Consider the following 21,185-nt stretch of genomic DNA (forward strand, 5'->3'; position numbering starts at 1 on the left):
CCCCCATGCAGAGATTTATGCAACATTTCTCTTAAATCCACACTGCACTTTATGAGGGCCTCTAGAACAATTGCCTACAGATACTATACTTAATGCAACATTTGTTCTCTGATGCTTTACTCCCACCTGTTCACTCTTCTGGCCTAAAATTACAGGATTTGAGAATAGAGACTTTTGTTTTTAAAATGTTTATCTCTAACACTTGCAAAGTACCTGGAAATTTGCTTAATAAATTAATAATATGAATTATTACATTATAACTTGAAAGCTGCTTTTATTACAGAATGATCTGTCAACAAAAAGGGTCAAACTCTGTACAACATTTGAAGAGATTTATTGTGAGCCGAATATGACTCATCAATATTCTGTGACCCAGGAGATGCTGAGAACATGTGCACAAGGTGGTCAGGATACAGCTTGGTTGCATACCTTTTATGGAGACATAGACATCAATCGATCAACCTACATTGGTTTGGTCTGGAAAGCTGGGACAACTTGAAGCAGGGGCCTCCAGGTCATAGGTGGATTCAAGAATTTTCTAATTGGCAATTGATTGAAAGAGTTAAGTGATTGTCTAAAGACCTAGAATCAATAGAAGGGAATGTCTGGGTTAAGATAAGCGGTTGTAGAGAACAAGATTCCCCTTATGCAAACAGAATCAATAGAAGAGAATGTTTCTTATTAGACTTAAAAAGTCTTTTCTATCAGTCTTAAAGTCTCTGTTTTAATGTTAATGCTGGTCATCTGTGCCTGAATTCCACTGGGAGGTGTACATAACGAGGCATGTCTAACCCCCACTTTCCCTCATGGCCTGAACTAGTTTTTCAGGTTAACTTTGGAATGCCCTTGGCTGAGGGGAGGGTCCATCAGATGGTTCAGGTGCTTAGAATTTTATTTTTGGTTTACAGATCAAATGCCCTTTAAGGTAGGACTGTATGCCAAGTGGTCGCAATGTCTGTTCCCTTAACCACAAATATCTTGTGAGTAAGAAAGCCTAACCTCCTAGGAATGTAGCCCAAGTCTCAGCCTCATTTTTCCCAGCCCCTCTTCAAGATGGAGTTGCCCTGATTCAAATACCTTTGACAACAGGGCTAGATAGAGTAGGTCAGGCAAGAGATATGTAACTGGACCAAATGGTGTGGAAGATGGTAAGATGGGTTAACTAGGAAAGATTTCAGGATTGACCCAGCCTGGGGACAGTCTAGAAAGAACCAGAGCATTAAGAAGAAAGGTGAGAAGATATTTTTACATTGGTTGAAAATACCAGTAGGGATCCTGTTAAGGATTAAATTACCTACAAAAATAATAATATAGTTTGGTTTCATCTCTAATAGACCAAACCTCCTGAAAGTAATAATCATTGACTAAGTAAAAAATACAAAACAACTACCTGAAAGCTGTGAGAGTATACCAAGGCAGGCAGATTTGCAAGGGAGACACAATTTAAAAGAAAGGAATATCACATTGTGAGTTTTTCATTATATAATTCTTAGTCATAGTCACAGTACGGCACAACTAAAACACAAGTTGAAAACCCATACTCAGAGACTTCTATTTCCGGCTGTGATGAAGGAAGAGTGCTAGATTTGTCCTCCTGCCTTAAACAAAAAGATATATAAAATAAATATATTTTCCAAAATATATAAAACAATGGATATGAGTCATATTTTTCTGCGTTTCTTTTGCATAGTTGTTAATTTTTTTATTGGATGCTAGACATTTAAAATTTCAACACAGGACAGAAATCTCATCTGGGAGAAAGGGAACAGATAATGTAAGCCCTAACGTTGTCCTATATCAATGCCTGGATAGAGTTTCTAGGTGACAGGGCAAGAAGCAGAGCCCAAACAGAGCCTGGTGGTCCCCCTGAATTGAGGTGACAGAGTTTGGGGTTTAGGGAGTCCAAAGCAGCTAGAATCTGTGGGATAAAAACCAAGGAGGATAGAGCTCCAGAAATAGGAAGAGAGGTGCCCTTGAAAGTGTGACTGATAATGATCTGAGCATGTATATGAAGAAAATACAAAGGCAAGTGAAAGAATCATTGTAAAGGAGTAGGTGGTACAATCCCTGGAGCTTACACAGGGATGAGAATAGTTTGTTTTCACCAGCCAGAGTTAAAAGCCACCCAATACATAAGGCATCAGTAGAATCTTCAAAAGAACATTGCCTTAGTAATAGAAATAAATTAGCCCTAGACTAAGGCTGCCATGGGCCCATGCTACAGAGCCTTACAGCAAGATTTGAACAGATTAAAATAATTACAAGTAACTAAACTGCATCCCAAAGTTCTGCAATATTTAAAATAATACAACAAAATTGAGTACCCAAAAATGTTAAATTTAAAATGTTCAGCACCCAGTCAAAAATTATTAGGCATCCAAAGAAACAAGAAGATATGATCCATAACCAGGAGAAAAATCACTCAAAGAAACACTCAGAAATGACAGAGATGACAGAAGTAATAGAAAATATATTAAAATAGCTATTATAAATATAAATATATATATCATGTTTAAAAAGCTTAAACATGATGAGCAGAAGAACCAAAAATATAAAAAACAAATGAAATGTCTATATATGAAAATAAATTATTTGAAATGAAAAACACACTGAATGAAACTAAGTGCTGACTAGACATTGAAGAAGAAAATATCTATACATTTTGAAGACATAACAATAGAAACTATTCAAAATAAAAGAAGGAGGGGAAAAGACTGAAAAAAAATGAACAAAGCAACAATGATCTCTGGGACGATATCAAGTGGTAAGAGGCAGGAATAACTGGAGACCCAGAAGGAGCAAAGGGGAGGAGATACAAGAAAATATTTAATAAAATATGGCTAAAATTTTTTCAAGTTTGATAACAAGCTGTAAATTCACAGATCTAAGAAGTCCAAAGTACTACACATTAAAAAAAAATAGCATATCACGGTCAAATCTCCATAAACCATCAAGAAAAGAAAATCTTAAAAACAACCAGAAGAAAAAAAGTATATACAGAAGCAAAGATAATTACAGCAGACTTCTTGTCTGAAATTATGTAAGGCAAAGAACCAAAAAACCAAAACAACAACAACAACAAAAAAAAAACAACAAAAAAGAAACAGTGGTATGGCAGTATTAAAGTAGTGGGAAAAGGTCAGCCTAGAATTCTATATGCAGAAAAATATCTTTCTAAAATGAAAGTAAAATAACTTTTTTCAGACAAACAAAACTTGCCAAAGCACATATACTATGAAGAATCAATTTATAATATATAGTACATATACTATAAATGGCAAAGCTGCAGAGAAAAACAGAATGCATACATTGCTGGTAGATATGTAAATTAGTTCAGCCATTGTAGAAAGCAGTGTGGCAACTTCTCAAAGAACTTAAAACAGAAGTACCATTCAACTCAGCAATCCCATTACTGGGTATACACCCAAAGAAATACACATCATTCTACCATAAAGACACACGCATGCATATGTTCTTTCAGCACTATTTACAATAGCAAACACATACAATCAACCTAATGCTCATCAATAGTAGACTGAAAAAAAAGAAATGTGGCACACATACACCATGGAATACTACATAGCCATAAACAAAATGAGATCATGTTCTTTGCAGCAACAAGGATGGAACTGGAGGCCATAATCCTAAGTGAACTAAAGCAGGAATAGAAAACCAAATACTGCATGTTCTCACTTATAAGTGGGAGCTAAACGTTGAGTACATATGGACACAAAGAAGGGAAAAACAGACACTGGGCCCTACTGGAAGGTGGGGGGGTGGGAGGAGTGACAGGGTCAAAACACTACCTATTGGGTACTATGCTTACTACCTGGATGACTAAATAATCTGTACACCAAACCCCCATGATATGCAATTTACCTATATAAGAAACCTGCACATGTACCCTGATCCTAAAATAAAAGTTAATAAATATCTCCTCCAAAAAAAAAGAATTGAAAGTTCTTCAGAAAGAGAAAATAAGACATCAGACAGTAATTCAAACCTAGAAAAGAAATCAAAGTAATTTAAAATGAGTATGTAAATCAATAGAAAAGATTGTTTAATTTTTAAAATATCTTAATGCTAATTAAAAGAAAAATAATAACATATTGTGTCATCTATAACATATAGAAGCAAATATAGACAATAATAGCAAACAGGATAGGAAGGAAGAAAGGGAAGTATTTCTTGTAAGGACCAAACATTTCAATAAGTATGAAATGTTATAATAATCTTTGAAGTTATAATGTAATATTGCTAGAGCAATTATTATAAAAATAGGGTGTACAATTACTAAGCCAATAGTAGGGTTAAAGCTGAGTCATAAAATACTCAATTATTCCAAAAAAACAAGGAAGGAAAAGAGGGGTGGAAGGAACAAAGAACAAATAAGAAAAATATAAAATAATAGAAAATATTAGATTTAAACCCAAAGTTGTCAATGATCACATTAAATGTCCATGGTATCCCTTAGTTTATTCAAAGACAGGATAATTTAAAACAACAGAAATGTATTGTTTGCAGTTCTGGAAGCTGAGAAGTCTAAGATCAAGAAATTTGGTGTCTGGGGAGATCTCACTCTCTGCTTCACATATGGCACCTTCTTGCAGTGTTTTTACATGGTAGAAGCTCTCTCATGCCTCTTTTATAAGGGCACTAATCCCATTCATTAGAGTGACTCTCTTATAACCTAATCACCTCTCAAAGGCCGCACCTCTTAATACCACTACACTGAGGTTTATGTTTCAACCTATGAATTTGGTGGTGGAAAAAAACATTCAGATAATAGTATGGTCTAATCACTCCAATTAAAAAGCAAAGGCAGTCAAATTGGATTAAACAGCAAGACTCAAGTAAATGCTGTCTACAAAACACCTCCTTTATATACAAAGCCAATACAAAGGTAAGTAATAGGTTAAAAGTAAAAGGATAGAAAAAGATATGTCATGCAAATATTAATCAAAGGAAATGGAGTGACTGTATTTATATTAGATAAAATAGGTTTCAGTACAGAGAATTTAACCAGGTATAAAACTGGATATTTCATAATGATAAACAGATCCATGAGAAGCAAAATCAAGAATATATAAAAATCCTAAATATTTATGTTCCAAATAACAAGCTTCAAAATACATAAAGTAAAAACAGAATTGAAAGAAAAAATAAACAAACCAACAATTACAGTTGGAGCTTTCAAAAGTCTTATTTTATTAATTGATAGCACAAGTGGACAATTAGTAATGAATTAGTAATGAATATAGAAGACAAATAATACTATCAACCAATTTAAAATCTATATATCAATTTGATCAAATATCAATCAAACTGATATTTTTAGAATGTTCTACCAGGAGGCACTGTTAGCAAAATACACACTTTTTTATACATGCACACAAGAAATACAGTCTTATGCTGGGCAATAAGTAAATCATATTACATTTAAAAGGATTGAAATTATGCAAAGTATGTTTTCTAAGCACAGCTGAATTAAACAGAAAAATATCTAGGAAAACCCCAAATATATAGAAATTAAAAATTAAATAGTTCACGGATCACATAAAAAATACAGTAGACATTACAAAATATTCTAAATCTAATAAAAATATAAATCAACATATCAAAATATGTGGGAAGTTACAAAACAATTCTCAGAAAAAAACTTATACCTTTAAATGCTTGTGTTAAAAAAGAAGATATAAGATCAACGATCTGAGGTCTGACTTTAAAAAGTTAGAAAAAGAAGAACAAAGAAAACCCAAAGTAGACAAAAGGAAGAAAATGATAAAACTAAGAGCAGACGTAAGTAAAATTTGTAGACAAACAATACAACAAAGTCAAAAGCTAGTTCTTTGAAATAATTAAGCAAATTGATAAGTCCATAGTTAGACTGATTTTTAAGAGTGATAATACATATTGTGAAAATCAAGAATGAAAGAGGGGTTATCACTACAGATCCTATAGACACCAAAAGGACAGTGAGTACTATTAGCAACCTTATGCCAATAATTTCTGTAAATTAGATGACACAGATAAATTCCTTAAAAATACAACTTTTAAAATTGACACAGATGAACAGAAAATCTACATAGCTCTATATCTATTAAAGTAATTGAATTAATATCCAACATTAATTCAACTGGCTAGATATTGGGTGAATTCTGTCAAACATTCTAGAAAAAAGTAATATAAATTTCATGTAAACATGTTAAATTCAGAAAATAGAGGAGAAAACATGACCAATTTACTTCATGAGTCAAGTCTAATATTAATATCAAAACCTGACAAAGACATTACAAAAATTACAGGCCAGTAACACTGATAAACATAGACACAAATTTTCTTAAGAAAACACTCGCAAGTATAAATTGAATATGTCAAAAGAAGTAGGTTTTATCAAGTAAGTTTTACGTGAAGAATGCAAAGTTGGTTTAACATTTTACAATTAATTACCATATTAGCAGATGACATCTTTAAAAAGTCATTTCTAATATTACTAGAAAAAAATAAGCAATACAATTGTTTTAATAGGTGCCAAAAAAGCATTTGACAAAATTCAATGCCTGTTCATGATTTAAAAAACAACAAACTCTCAAAAATCCTGAAATGGATCTGAACTTTCTCAACCTACTAAAAAATATCTGGAAAAGATCTACAGCTAATAACATCCTTAATGGTTATGGTTTAATTAAAAAATAATCAATTAAGTAAATAAATAAATAAATGAAATGCCCTAGGTTCCTCACAAAAAGCTTCTGAAACCTTTGGAAGGCAGCTATGCTCACCACTATACCACCAATGCCTGCATTTCTGAAACCTTTGGAATTTCTAAAAGAGTCATTGTCTTTGGTAAGATAATGAGATGCCTGGTAGCTGGGGTCCCCTAGGTAGCTTCAGAATGGGGACTGGTTGCTACAAAGACCAAGCCTTGATTAGAAGCTTAGAACTCTCAGGCCTGTCTCTCAACCTATAGAAAGGGAAAAGGGGTTGGAGACTGTGCGAATCACCATTGGCTGATGATTTAATCAATCATACCTACATAATGAAGACTCCATTAAAACCCTAAATGACAGTTGGGAGGGTTTCCAGGTTGGTGAACACATCAAGGTGCTGGGAGGGTGGCGCATCCAGAGGGAACATGGAAGCTCCTGCCCCTTCCTCCATACCCTGCCCTGTGCAGCTCTTTCATTTGGCAGTTCCTGAGGTGTATTCTTTATAATAACTGGTAATTTCCACCAAATTATCAAACCTGCAGAAGGAGTCATGGGAATCCTCAATTTCTACCTGGTCAATCAGAAGTTCAGGAAGCCCTCAACCTGTGACTGGCATCTGAAGTGGGGGGAAGCGGATCGAGCCTTTGAGCTGTGGGGTCTGCACTAACTCCAAGGGGTTAATGTCAGAATTGAATTGGATTGTTGAACTCACAGTTGGTGTCCAGAGAATCAGAGAATTGGTTGGTATGAAGCAAAAACCCCATACCTTGGTGTCAGAAATGTTATAAGTAAAAACAGCTGAAACGTAAATTATTATATGCTTCCCCTTAAGTCAAGGAAAAGGCAAGGATGCTTCTTCTTACCGTGTCTACCCAACATTCTCCGAGTGATTCTAGACAGTGCAATAGGGCGAGGTAAAGAAATACAAGCATAGAGGTTCCAAGATGGCCAAATAGGAACAGCTCCAGTCTGCAGCTACCAGCGTAAGCGACGCAGAAGACGGGTGATTTCTGCATTTCCAACTAAGGTATTGGGTTCATTTCACTGGGGCTTGTCAGACAGTGGGTGTAGCCCATGGAGCAGGGCGGGGCATTGCCTCACCCAGGAAGCGCAAGGGGTTGGGGAATTCCCTTTCCTAGCAAAGGGAAGCCGTGACAGATGGTGCCTGGAAATTCAGGACACTCCCACCCTAATACTGTGCTTTTCCAATGGCCTTAGCAAAAGGCACACGAGGAGATTATATCCTGTGCCTGGCTGGTGGGGGCGGTCCCACACCCACGGAGCCTTGCTCACTGCTAGCACAGCAGTCTGAGATCAAACTGCAAGGCAGCAGGGAGGCTGGGGGAGGGGCATCCGCTATTGCTGAGGCTTGAGTAGTCTCAGCGGCCGTGAATAAGTGCCCACCTCATGTGCAGAGACACACAAAGTGGCCGGGAAGCTCGAACTGCATGGAGCCCATTGCAGCTCAAGGAGGCCTCCCTGCCTCTGTAGACTCCACCTCTGGGGGCAGGGCATAGCTGAAAAAAAGGCAGCAGAAACTTCTGCAGACTTAAGCATCCCTGTCTGACAGCTTTGAAGAGAGTAGTGGTTTTCCCAGCACAGAGTTTGAGATCTGAGAATGGACAGACTGCCTCCTCAAGTGGGTCCCTGACCCCTGAGTAGCCTAACTGGGAGACACCTCCCAGTAGGGGCCGACTGACACCTCATACAGCAGGGTGCCCCTCTGAGATGAAGCTTCCAGAGGAAGGATCAGGTAGCAACATCTGCCGTTCTGCAATATTTACCATTCTGCAGTCTCCACTGGTGATACCCAGGCAAACAGGGTCTAGAGTGGACCTCCAGCAAACTCCAACAGACCTACAGCTGAGGGTCCTGACTGTTAGAAGGAAAACTAACAAACAGAAAGCACATCCACACCAAAACCCCATCTGTACATCACCATCATCAAAGACGAAAAGTAAATAAAACCACAAAGATAGGGAGAAACCAGAGCAGAAAAGCTGAAAATTCTAAAAATCAGAGCACCTCTTCTCCTCCAAAGGAATGCAGCTCCTCACCAGCAATGGAACAAAGCTGGATGGAGAATGACTTTGATGAGTTGAGAGAAGAAGGCTTCAGACGATCAGTAATAACAAACTTCTCCAAGCTAAAGGAGGATGTTTGAACCCATTGCAAAGAAGCTAAAAACCTTCAAACAAGATTAGACGAATGGCTAACTAGAATAAACAGTGTAGAGAAGTCCTTAAATGACCTCACAGAGCTGAAAACCATAGCACGAGAACTGTGTGACAAATGCACAAGCTTCAGTAGCCAATTTGATCAGGGGGGAGAAAGGGTATCAGTGATTGCAGATCAAATGAATGAAATGAAGCAAGAAGAGAAGTTTAGAGAAAAAGGAGTAAAAAGAAACGAACAAAGCCTCCAAGAAATATGGGCCTATGTGAAAAGACTAAATCTACATCTGATTGGTCTACCTGAAAGTGACGGGGAGAATGGAACCAAGTTGGAAAACACTCTGCAGGATATTATCCAGGAGAAATTCCCCAACCTAGCAAGGCAGGCCAACATTTAAATTCAGAAAATACAGAGAAGGCCACAAAGATACTCCTCGAAAAGAGCAACTCCAAGACACATAACTGTCAGATTCACCAAAATTGAAATGAAGGAAAAAATGTTAAGGGCAGCCAAAGAGAAAGGTCGGGTTACCCACAAAGGGAAGCCCATCAGACTAACAGCAGATCTCTCAGCAGAAACTCTACAAGCCAGAAGACAGTGGGGGCCAATATTCAACATTCTGAAAGAAAAGACTTTCCAACCCAGAATTTCATATCCAGCCAAACTACGCTTCATAAGTGAAGGAGAAATAAAATTCTTTACAGACAAACAAATGCTGAGAGATTTTGTCACCACCAGGTCTGCCTTACAAGAGCTCCTGAAGGAAGCACTAAACATGGAAAGGAACAGCAGATATCAGCCACTGCAAAAACATGCCAAATTCTAAAGACCACCAATGCTAGGAAGAAACTGCATCAACTAATGAGCAAAATAACCAGCTAACATCATAATGACAGGATCAAATTCACACATAACAATATTAACCTTAAACGTAAATGGGCTAAATGCTCCAATTAAAAGACACAGACTGGCAAATTCGATAAAGAGTCAAGACCCATCAGTGTGCTGTATTCAGGAGAACCATCTCACGTGCAGAGACACACATAGGCTCAAAATAAAGGGATGGAGGAAGATCTACCAAGCAAATGGAAAACACACAAAAAAGCAAGGGTCGCAATCCTAGTCTCTGATAAAACAGACTTTAAACCAGCAAAGATCAAAAGAGACAATGAAGGCCATTACATAATGGTAAAGGGATCAATTCAACAAGAAGAGCTAACTATCCTAAATATATATGCACCCAATACAGGAGCACCCAGATTCACAAAGCAAGTCCTTAGAGACCTACAAAGAGACTTAGACTCCCACACAATAATAATGGGAGACTTTAACACCCCACTGTTAACATTAGACAAGTCAAAGAGACAGAAATTTAACAAGGATATCCAGGAATTGAACTCAGCTCTGCACCAAGCGGACCTAATAGACATCTACAGAACTCTCCACCCCAAATCAACAGAATATACATTCTTCTCAGCACCACATCACATTTATTCCAAAATTGACCACATAGTTGGAAGTAAAGCACTCCTCAGCAAATGTAAAAGAACAGAAATTATAACAAACTGTCTCTCAGACCACAGTGCAATCAAACTAGAACGCAGGATTAAGAAACTCACTCAAAACCACTCAACTACATGGAAACTGAACAACGTGCTCCTGAATGACCACTGGGTACATAACGAAATGAAGGCAGAAATAAAGATGTTCTCTGAAACCAGTGAGAACAAAGACACAACATACCAGAATCTCTGGGACACATTTAAAGCAGTGTGTAGATGGAAATTGATAGTACTAAATGCCCACAAGAGAAAGCAAGAAAGATCTAAAATTGACACCCTAACATCACAATCAAAAGAACTAGAGAAGCAAGAGCAAACACATTCAAAAGCTAGCAGAAGGCAAGAAATAACTAAGATCAGAACAGAACCGAAGGAGATCGAGACACAAAAAAAAAACTCTTCAAAAAATCAATGAATCTGGGAGTTGGTTTCTTGAAAAGATCAACAAAATTCATTGACCACTAGCAAGACTAATAAAGAAGAAAAGAGATGCAATAAAAAATGATAAAGAGGATATCATCGCCAATCCCATAGAAATACAAACTACCATCAGAGAATACTACAAACACCTCTATGCAAATAAACTAGAAAATCTAGAAGAAATGGATAAATTCCGCGACACATACACCCTCCCAAGACTAAACCAGGAAGAAGTTGAATCCCTGAATAGACCAATAACAGGCTCTGAAATTGAGGCAATAATTAATAGCCTACCAACCAAAAAAAGTCCAGGACCAGATGGATTCACAGCCGAATTCTACCAGAGGTACAAAGAGGAGCTCGTATCATTCCTTCTGAAACTATTCCAATGAATAGAAAAAGAGGGAATCCTCCCTAACTCATTTTATGAGGCCAGCATCATAGTGATACCAAAGCCTGGCAGAGACACAACAAAAAAAGAGAATTTTAGACCAATATCCCTGATGAACATCGATGCAAAAATCCTCAATAAAATACTGGCAAACCAAATCCAGCAGCACATCAAAACTCTTATCCATCATGATCAAGTTGGCTTCATCCCTGGGATGCAAGGCTGGTTCAACATACACAAATCAATAAACATAATCCATCATATAAACAGAACCAAAGACAAAAACCACATGATTATCTCAATAGATGCAGAAAAGGCCTTTGACAAAATTAAACAGCCCTTCATGCTAAAACTCTCAATAAACTAGGTATTGATGGGATGTATCTCAAAATAATAAGAGCTATTTGTGACACACCCACAGCCAATATCATACTGAATGGGCAAAAACTGGAAGCATTCCCTTTGAAAACTGGCACAAGACAGGGATGCCCTCTCTCACCACTCCTAGTCAACATAGTGTTGGAAGTTCTGGCCAGGGCAATCAGGCAGGAGAAAGAAATAAAGGGTATTCAACTAGGAACAGAGGAAGTCAAATTGTCCCTGTTTGCAGATGACATGATTGTATATTTAGAAAACCCCATCGTCTCAGCCAAAAATCTCCTTAAGCTGATAACCAACTTCAGTAAAGTCTCAGGATACAAAATCAATGTGCAAAAATCAAAAGCATTCCTATACACCAATAGCAGACAAACAGAGAGCCAAATCATGAGTGAACTCTCATTCACAATTGCTTCAAAGAGAATAAATTACCTAGGAATCCAATTTACAAGGGATGCGAAGGACCTCTTCAAGGAGAACTACAAACCACTGCTCAACGAAATAAAAGAGGACACAAACAAATGGAAGGCCATTCCATGCTCATAGATAGGAAGAATCAATATTGTGAAAATGGCCATACCGTCCAAGGTAATTTATAGATTCAATGCCATCCCCATCAAGCTACCAATGACTTTCTTCACAGAATTGGAAAAAACTACTTGAAAGTTCATATGGAACCAAAAAAGAGCCTGCATTGCCAAGACACTCCTAAGCAAAAAGAACAAAACTGGAGGCATCATGCTACCTGACTTCAAACTATACTACAAGGCTACAGTAACCAAAACAGCATGGTACTGGTACCAAAACAGAGATACAGACCAATGGAACAGAACAGAGCCCTCAGAATTAATACCACACATCTACAACCATCTGATCTTTGACAAACCTGACAAAAACAAGAAATGGGGAAAGGATTCCCTATTTAATAAATGGTGCTGGGAAAACTGGTTAGCCATATGTAGAAAGCTGAAACTGGATCCCTTCCTTACACCTTATACAAAAATTAATTCAAGATGGATTAAAGACTTAAATGTTAGACCTAAAAACCATAAAAACCCTAGAAGAAAACCTAGGCAATACCATTCAGGACATAGGCATGGGCAAGGACTTCATGACTAAGACACCAAAAGCAATGGCAACAAAAGCCAGAATTGACAAATGGGATCTAATTAAACTAAAGAGCTTCTGCACAGCAAAAGAAACTACCATCAGAGTGAATAGGCAACCTACAGAATGGGAGAAAATTTTTACAATCTACGCATCTGACAAAGGGCTAATTATCCAGAATCTACAAAGAACATAAACAAATTTACAAGAAAAAAATCGAACAATCCCATCAAAAAATGGGCGAAGGATATGAACAGACACTTCTCAAAAGAAGACATTTATGCAGGCAACAGACACATGAAAAAATGCTCATCATCACTGGCCATCAGAGAAATGCAAATCAAAACCACAATGAGATACCATCTCAAATCAGTTAGAATGGCAATCATTAAAAAGTCAGGGAACAACAGATGCTGGAGAGGATGTGGAGAAATAGGAACACTTTTACACTGTTGGTGGGACTGTAAACTAGTTCAACCATTGTGGAAGTCAGTGTGGCGATTCCTCAAGGATCTAGAACTAGAAATACCATTTGACCCAGCCATCCCATTACTGGGTATACACTGGTTATATACTGGGTATACATAATAAGGATTATATAGCATGCTGCTATAAAGACACATGCACACGTATGTTTATTGCGACACTATTCACAATAGCAAAGACTTGGAACCAACCCAAATGCCCATCAATGACAGACTGGATTAAGAAAATGTGGCACATATACACCATGGAATACTATGCAGCCATAAAAAAGGATGAGTTCATGTCCTCTGAGGGACATGGATGAAGCTGGAAACCATCATTCTGAGCAAACTATCACAAGGACAGAAAACCAAACACCGCATGTTCTCACTCATAGGTGGGAATGGAGTAATGAGAACATTTGGACACACAGTGGGGAACATCACACACCAGGGCCTGTCGTGGGGTGGGGGGAGGGGGGAGGGATAGCATTAGGAGATATACCTAATGTAAATGACGAGTTAATGGGTGCAGCACATCAACATGGCACATGTATACATATGTAACAAACCTGCACGTTGTGCACATGTACCCTAGAACTTAAAGTATAAAAAAAAGAATAAATTTAACTGAGATCCCTATGTTCTACTTGCCAACAAACACCCTCCAGGAAAAGAATTAGTCCTAAAATTAAAAATAAAAAAAAAAGGGCTACCCTCTTTGAGTCCCCTCCCTTTGTATGGGAGCTCTGTTTTCACTGTATTAAATCTTGCAACTGCACTCTCTTCTGGTCTATGTTTGTGTCGGCTTGAGCTGAGCTTTCACTCGCTGTCCACTACTGCTGTCGCAGACCCGCCGCTGACTTCCATCCCTCCGGATCCTGCAGGGTGTCCGCTGTGCTCCTGATCCAGCGAGGTGCCCATTGCCGCTCCTGATCAGGCTAAAAAGGCTTGCCATTGTTCCTGCACTGCTAAGTGTCCGGGTTCGTCCTAATCAAGCTGAACACTAGTCACTGGGTTCCACAGTTCTCTTCTGTGACCCACGGCTTCTAATAGAGCTATAACACTCACCACATGGCCCAAGATTCCATTCCTTGGAATCCGTGAGACCAAGAACCCCAGGTCAGAGAACACGAGGCTTGCAACCATCTTGGAAGCAGCCCACCGCCATTTTGGAAGCAGCCAGCCACCACCTTGGGAGCTCTGTGAGCAAGGACCCCCTGGTAACATTTTGGTGACCATGAAGGGACCTCCAAAGTGGTAATACTGGACCACTTTCACTTGCTATTCTGTCCTATCCTTCCTTAGAATTGGAGGAAAATACCGGGCACCTGTCGGCCAGTTAAAAACCATTAGCATGGCTTTTTAACCATGCTATATGCCTATGTCCTAGGCATATAGCCTAGGACATAGGACATGCCATGCCTATGTCCAGACTTAGGACTCAGGTGTGAGGCTATCTGGGGAAGGGCTTTCTAACAACCCCCAACCCTTCTGGGTTGGGGACATTGGTCTGCCTGGAGCCAGCTTCCACTTTCAATTTTCTTGGGGAAGCCAGGGGCCAACTAGAGGCAGAAAGCTGTCATCCCGAACTCCCGGCATTAGCCAGTTGAGATCATGGTGCAGCCAGAAGTCTCTCCTCAACAGTTGCCCATGCATGCACCCCTACCTTTCCTTCTGACCCATACATCCTGGGTCCCAACCACGACGTTCTTGAAAGTGTAGCCCCAAAATTCTCCTTACCTCTGAATCTTCTTCCTCTGATCCCTGCCTCCTAGGTACTAATGGTTCAGACTTTCATTTCCTCTGGCAAGTTGTAACTCCAAAGGGATCTAAGGAAGCTCTACGCTGTGTTCTTAGGCATCTAGGCTACAAACCCAGGAAGTGTTATCCCTGGTGTCCCACCCGATTTAAGTATACAGCTCTCGACATGGGCAGTTATGTTGGACCCGTTCCCCACCACCCTTGCCAGGGCCCCAAATTTGTAATGGCTAAGAGAAGGCGAGAGATGGAGGAGAGAGAGAGACAGAGGAGGGAGAGAGAGAGAGAGATGGAGGAGAGAGAGAGAGAAAGAGGGAGTCAAAGAGAAAAAAACAGAGAAAGATAGAAATAGTAAAAAACAGTGTGCCCTATTCCTTTAAAAGCCAGGGTAAATTTAAAACCTGTAATTGATAATTGAAGGTCTTCTCCATGACCCTATAACACTCCAATACTACCTTGTTGTTAGTGTAAACAAGGGCGTAGCCTGAAAACACTGAGACCGCTAACAACCAGGAGCCTTCCCATCAAAATTCCTCAACTCAGTGACCCGCAGATGGCCCAAATGCATACAGTCTGTAGCAGCAACTGCTTTGCTAACAGAAGAAAGTAGAAAAGTGACGTTTAGAGGAAACCTCATTGTGAGCACACCTAATCAGTTCAGAATTATTCTAAGTCAAAAAAGCAAAAAGGTAGCTTACTAACTCAAAAATCTTAAAGCATGCGGCTTTTCTGTTAGAAAAAGGTAATTTAACACCAACCACTGATAATCCCATTAACCCAGCAGATTTCCCAACAAAGGATTTAAATCTTAATTACCATACAAAGGTCCGACCAGATCTAGGAGGAACTCCCTTCAGGACAGGACAGTAGATGGTTCTTCCCTGGTGACTGAGGAAAAAACCACAATGGGCATTCAGTAATTGGTAGGGAGACTCTTGTGGAAGCAGAGTTAGAAAAATTGCTTAATAATTGGTCTCCTCAAACGTGCGAGCCGTTTGCACTCAGCCAAGCCTTAAAGTACTCACAGAATCAAAAAAGACTATCTCAATCCTGACTCAAAAGGTTACCTACACCCTCTCTGAAATGAATTTGCATAAGAACTGTTGTTTATGGGAATGCATCTTGATGGGGAAGCTGGGTTGTTATGAAATACTCAGGAACCCAGCCCAGCTCTAGGACTCACCCCTGAGCACAAAGGCAATGTTGGGTACGCTGGTAAAGGACCACTAGAATCCAGCAGCCTGGACCCCTTTCTTTGTGGTCAAGAAAGGCAGGAAAAGGGTGCAAGACTGCTACTTCGGTGAGCATAACTAATCCGATAAGCCGAGGTCCATGGGTGGTTACGCACCCTGGAAAGGAATAAGCATTAGGACCACAGCGGACACTCTAAGATTAATGCACATCGGAAAATGACTAGGGGTGCTGGCATCCCTCAGTTCTTTTTTCAGATAGGAAATGTTCCGCCCAAGGCAAAAATGCCCCTAAGATGTATTCTGGAGAATTGGGACCAATTTGACCCTCAGATGCTAAGAAAGAAATGACTCATTTTCTTCTGCAGTACCGCCTGGCCACGATATCCTCTTCAAGGGGGAGAAACCTGGCCTCTGGAGGGAAGTATAAATTATAACACCATCTTACAGCTAGAACTCTTTTGTAAAAAAGAAGGCAACTGGAGTGAAGTGCCATATGTACAAACTTTCTTTTCATTAAGAGACAACTCGCAATTATGTAAAAAGTGTGATTTATGCCCTACAAGAAGCCTTCAGAGTCTACCTCCCTACCCCACCATCCCCCCAACTCCTCCCCCAACTAATAAGGACCCCCCTTGAACCCAAACGGTCCAAAAGGAGATAGACAAAGGGGTAAACAATGAATCAAAGGTGCCAATATTCCCCGATTATGCCCCCTCCAAGCAGTGAGAGGAGGAGAATTCATCCCAGCCAGAGTGCATGTACCTTTTTCTCTCTCGGACTTAAAGCAAATTAAAATAGACCTAGGTAAATCCTCAGATAACCCTGATGGCTATATTGATGTTTTACAGGGGTTAGGACAATCCTTCGATCTGATATGGAGAGATATAATGTTACTGCTAAATCAGACGTTAACCCCAAATGAGAGAAGTGCCACCATAACTGCAGCCTGAGAGTTTGGCGATCTCTGGTATCTCAGTCAGGTCAATGATAGGATGATAACAGAGGAAAGAGAATGATTCCCCACAGGCCAGCAGGCAGTTCCCAGTGTAGACCCTCACTGGGACGCAGAATCAGAACATGGAGATTGGTGCTGCAGACATTTGCTAACTTGTGTGCTGGAAGGACTAAGGAAAACCAGGAAGAAGCCTACAAATTTTTCAATGATGTCCACTATAACACAGGGAAAGGAAGAAAATCCTACTGCTTTTCTGGAGAGACTAAGGGAGGCATTGAGGAAGCATACCTCTCTGTCACCTGACTCTATTGAAGGCCAACTAATCTTAAAGGATAAGTTTATCACTCAGTCAGCTGCAGACATTAGAAAAAAACTTCAAAAGTCCGCCTTAGGCCCAGAGCAAAACTTAGAAACCCTATTGAACTTGGCAACCTTGGTTTTTTATAATAGAGATCAGGAGGAGCAGGCGGAACAGGACAAACGGGATTTAAAAAGGCCACTGCTTTAGTCATGGCCCTCAGGCAAGTGGACTTTGGAGGCTCTGGAAAAGGAAAAGCTGGGAAAATCGAATGCCTAACAGGGCTTGCTTCCAGTGCGGTCTACAAGCACACGTTAAAAAAGATCATCCAAGTAGAAATAAGCTGCCTCCTCGTCCACCATTATGTCAAGGGAATCACTAGAAGGCCCACTGCCCCAGGGGATGAAGGTCCTCTGAGTCAGAAGCCACTAACCAGATGATCCAGCAGCAGGACTGAGGGTACCGGGGCAAGCACCAGCCCATGCCATTACCCTCACAGAGCCTCGGGTATGCTTGACCATTGAGGGCCAGGAGGTTAACTGTCTCCTGGACACTGGCGCGGCCTTCTCAGTCTTACTCTCCTGTCCCGGACAACTGTCCTCCAGATCTGTCACTCTCCGAGGGGTCCTAGGACAGCCAGTCATTAGATACTTCTCCCAGCCACTAAGTTGTGCCTGGGGAACTTTACTCTTTTCTCATGCTTTTCCAATTATGCCTGAAAGCTCCACTCCCTTGTTAGGGAAAGACATTCTAGCAAAAGCAGGGGCCATTATACACCTGAACATAGGAGAAGGAACACCCATTTGTTGTCCCTGCTTGAGGAAGGAATTAATCCTGAAGTCTGGGCAACAGAAGGACAATATGGACGAGCAAAGAATGCCCATCCTGTTCTAGTTAAACTAAAGGATTCCGCCTCCTTTCCCTACCAAAGGCAGTACTCCCTTAGACCTGAGGCCCAACAAGGACTCCAAAAGATTGTTAAGGACCTAAAAGCCCAAGGCCTAGTAAAACCATGCAATAGCCCCTGCAATACTCCAATTTTAGGAGTAGAGAAACCCAACAGACAGTGGAGGTTTGCACAAGAGCTCAGGATTATCAATGAGGCCATTGTCCCTCTATACCCAGCTGTACCTAACCCTTATACTCTGCTTTCCCAAATACCAGAGGAAGCAGAGTGGTTTACAGTCCTGGACCTTAAGAATGCCTTTTTCTGCATCCCTGTACATCCTGACTCTCAATTCTTGTTTGCCTTTGAAGATCCTTCAAACACAACCTGTCAACTCACCTGGACTGTTTTACCCCAAGGGTTCAGGGATAGCCCCCATCTATTTGGCCAGGCATTAGCCCAAGACTTGAGCCAATTCTCATACCTGGACACTCTTGTCCTTCAGTACATGGATGATTTACTTTTAGTCGCCCGTTCAGAAACCTTGTGCCATCAAGCCACCCAAGAACTCTTAAATTTCCTCACTACCTGTGGCTACAAGGTTTCCAAACCAAAGGCTCGGCTCTGCTCACAGCAGATTAGATACTGAGGGCTAAAATTATCCAAAGGCACCAGGGCCCTCAGTGAGGAACGTATCCAGCCTATACTGGCTTATCCTCATCCCAAAACCCTAAAGCAACTAAGAGGGTTCCTTGGCATAACAGGTTTCTGCCGAAAACAGATTCCCAGGTACAGCAAAATAGCCAGACCATTATATACACTAATTAAGGAAACTCAGAAAGCCAATACCTATTTAGTAAGATGGACACCTAAACAGAAGTGGCTTTCCAGGCCCTAAAGAAGGCCCTAACCCAAGCCCCAGTGTTCAGCTTGCCAACAGGGCAAGATTTTTCTTTATATGCCACAGAAAAAACAGGAATCGCTCTAGGAGTCCTTACACAGGTCCGAGGGATGAGCTTGCAACCCATGGCATACCTGAATAAGGAAATTGATGTAGTGGCAAAGGGTTGGCCTCATTGTTTATGGGTAGTGGCGGCAGTAGCAGTATTAGTGTCTGAAGCAGTTAAAATAATACAGGGAAGAGATCTTACTGTATGGACATCTCATGACGTGAATGACATACTCACTGCTAAAGAAGACTTGTGGCTGTCAGACAACTGTTTACTTAACTATCAGGCTCTATTACTTGAAGGGCCAGTACTGTTAACCCAGCCACATTTCTTCCAGACAATGAAGAAAAGATAGAACATAACTGTCAACAAGTAATTCCTCAAACCTGTGCTGCTCGAGGGGACCTTTTAGAGGTTCCCTTGACTGATCCCAACCTCAACTTGTATACTGATGGAAGTTCCCTTGTAGAAAAAGGACTTCGAAAAGTGGGCTATGCGGTGGTCAGTGATAACAGAATACTTGAAAGTAATCCCCTCACTCCAGGAACTAGTGCTCAGCTGGCAGAACTAATAGCCCTCACTCGGGCACTAGAATTGGGAGAAGGAAAAAGGGTAAATATATATACAGACTCTAAGTATGCTTACCTAGTCCTCCATGCCCACACAGCACTATGGAAAGAAAGGGAATTCCTAACTTCCGAGGAAACACCTTTCAAACATCAGGAAGCCATTAGGAGATTATTATTGGCTGTATAGAAACCTAAAGAGGTGGCAGTCTTACACTGCTGGGGTCATCAGAAAGGAAAGGAAAAGGAAATAGAAGGGAACCACCAAGCGGATATTAAAGCCAAAAGAGCCACAAGGCCGGACACTCCATTAGAAATGCTTATAGAAGGACCCCTAGTATGGGGTAATCCACTCCAGGAAACCAAGCCCCAGTACTCAGAAGAAGAAATAGAATGGGGAGCCTCACGAGGACATAGTTTCCTCCCCTCAGCATGGCTAGCCACCGAAGAAGGAAAAATACTTTTGCCTGCAGCTAACCAATGAAATTACTTAAAACCCTTCACCAAACCTTTCACTTAGGCATTAATAGCACCCATCAGGTGGCCAAATCATTATTTACTGGACCAGGCCTTGTCAAAACTATCAAGCAGATAGTCAAGGCCTGTAAACTGTGCCAAAGAAATAATCCCCTGCACTGCAGGCCATTCATTTCAATCCCTGTATCTTTAACCTCCTTGTTAAGTTTGTCTCTTCCAGAATCAAAGCTGTAAAACTACAAATCGTTCTTCAAATGGTGCCCCAGATGCAGTCCATGACTAAGATCTACCGTGGACCCCTGGACCGGCCTGCTAGCCCATGCTCTGATGTTAATGACATTGAAGGCACCCCTCCCGAGGAAATCTCAACTGCACCATCCCTACTATGCCCCAATTCAGCAGGAAGCAGTTAGAGCGGTTGTCGGCCAACCTCCCCAGCAGCACTTGGGTTTTCCTGTTGAGAGGGGGTACTGAGAGACAGGACTAGCTGGATTTTCTAGGCTGACTAAGAATCCCTAAGCCTAGCTGGGAAGGTGATGGCTTCCACCTTTAAACACGGGGCCTGCAACTTAGCTCACATCCGACCAATCAGATAGTAAAGAGAGCTCACTAAAATGCTAATTATGCAACAACATGAGGTAAAGAAATAGCCAATCATCTATTGCCTGAGAGCACAGCAGGAGGGACAATGATCAGGACATGAACCCAGGCATTTGAGCTAGCAAATGCTACCCTCTTTGGGTCCCCTCCCTTTGTATGGGAGCTCTGTTTTCACTATTAGATCTTGCAACTGCAAAATAAATAAATAAATAAAATAAAAAAGTGTCTGCTGAAGGTCTACCTGCTGTGTAAGAAAAGAAAACACAATATCGACAACATTCTTCCATTTGCA

The 21,185-nt window shown here is 40.5% G+C and overlaps 1 long non-coding RNA gene across 1 annotated transcript; it reads right to left on the reverse strand.

Moving 5' to 3' along the window:
* Window positions 1–257: 257 nt before the first annotated feature.
* On the reverse strand, window positions 258–19,907 carry LOC124901461 (uncharacterized). The gene is made up of 2 exons (XR_007059867.1): window positions 15,785–19,907; window positions 258–582 (listed from the first exon to the last, which is right to left on the reverse strand). It is a non-coding gene; the product is annotated as an uncharacterized LOC124901461 (long non-coding RNA).
* Window positions 19,908–21,185: the final 1,278 nt, after the last annotated feature.

Source organism: Homo sapiens, chromosome 6 (assembly GCF_000001405.40).
Source record: "Homo sapiens chromosome 6, GRCh38.p14 Primary Assembly".
NCBI classification, from domain to species: Eukaryota; Metazoa; Chordata; class Mammalia; order Primates; family Hominidae; genus Homo; species Homo sapiens.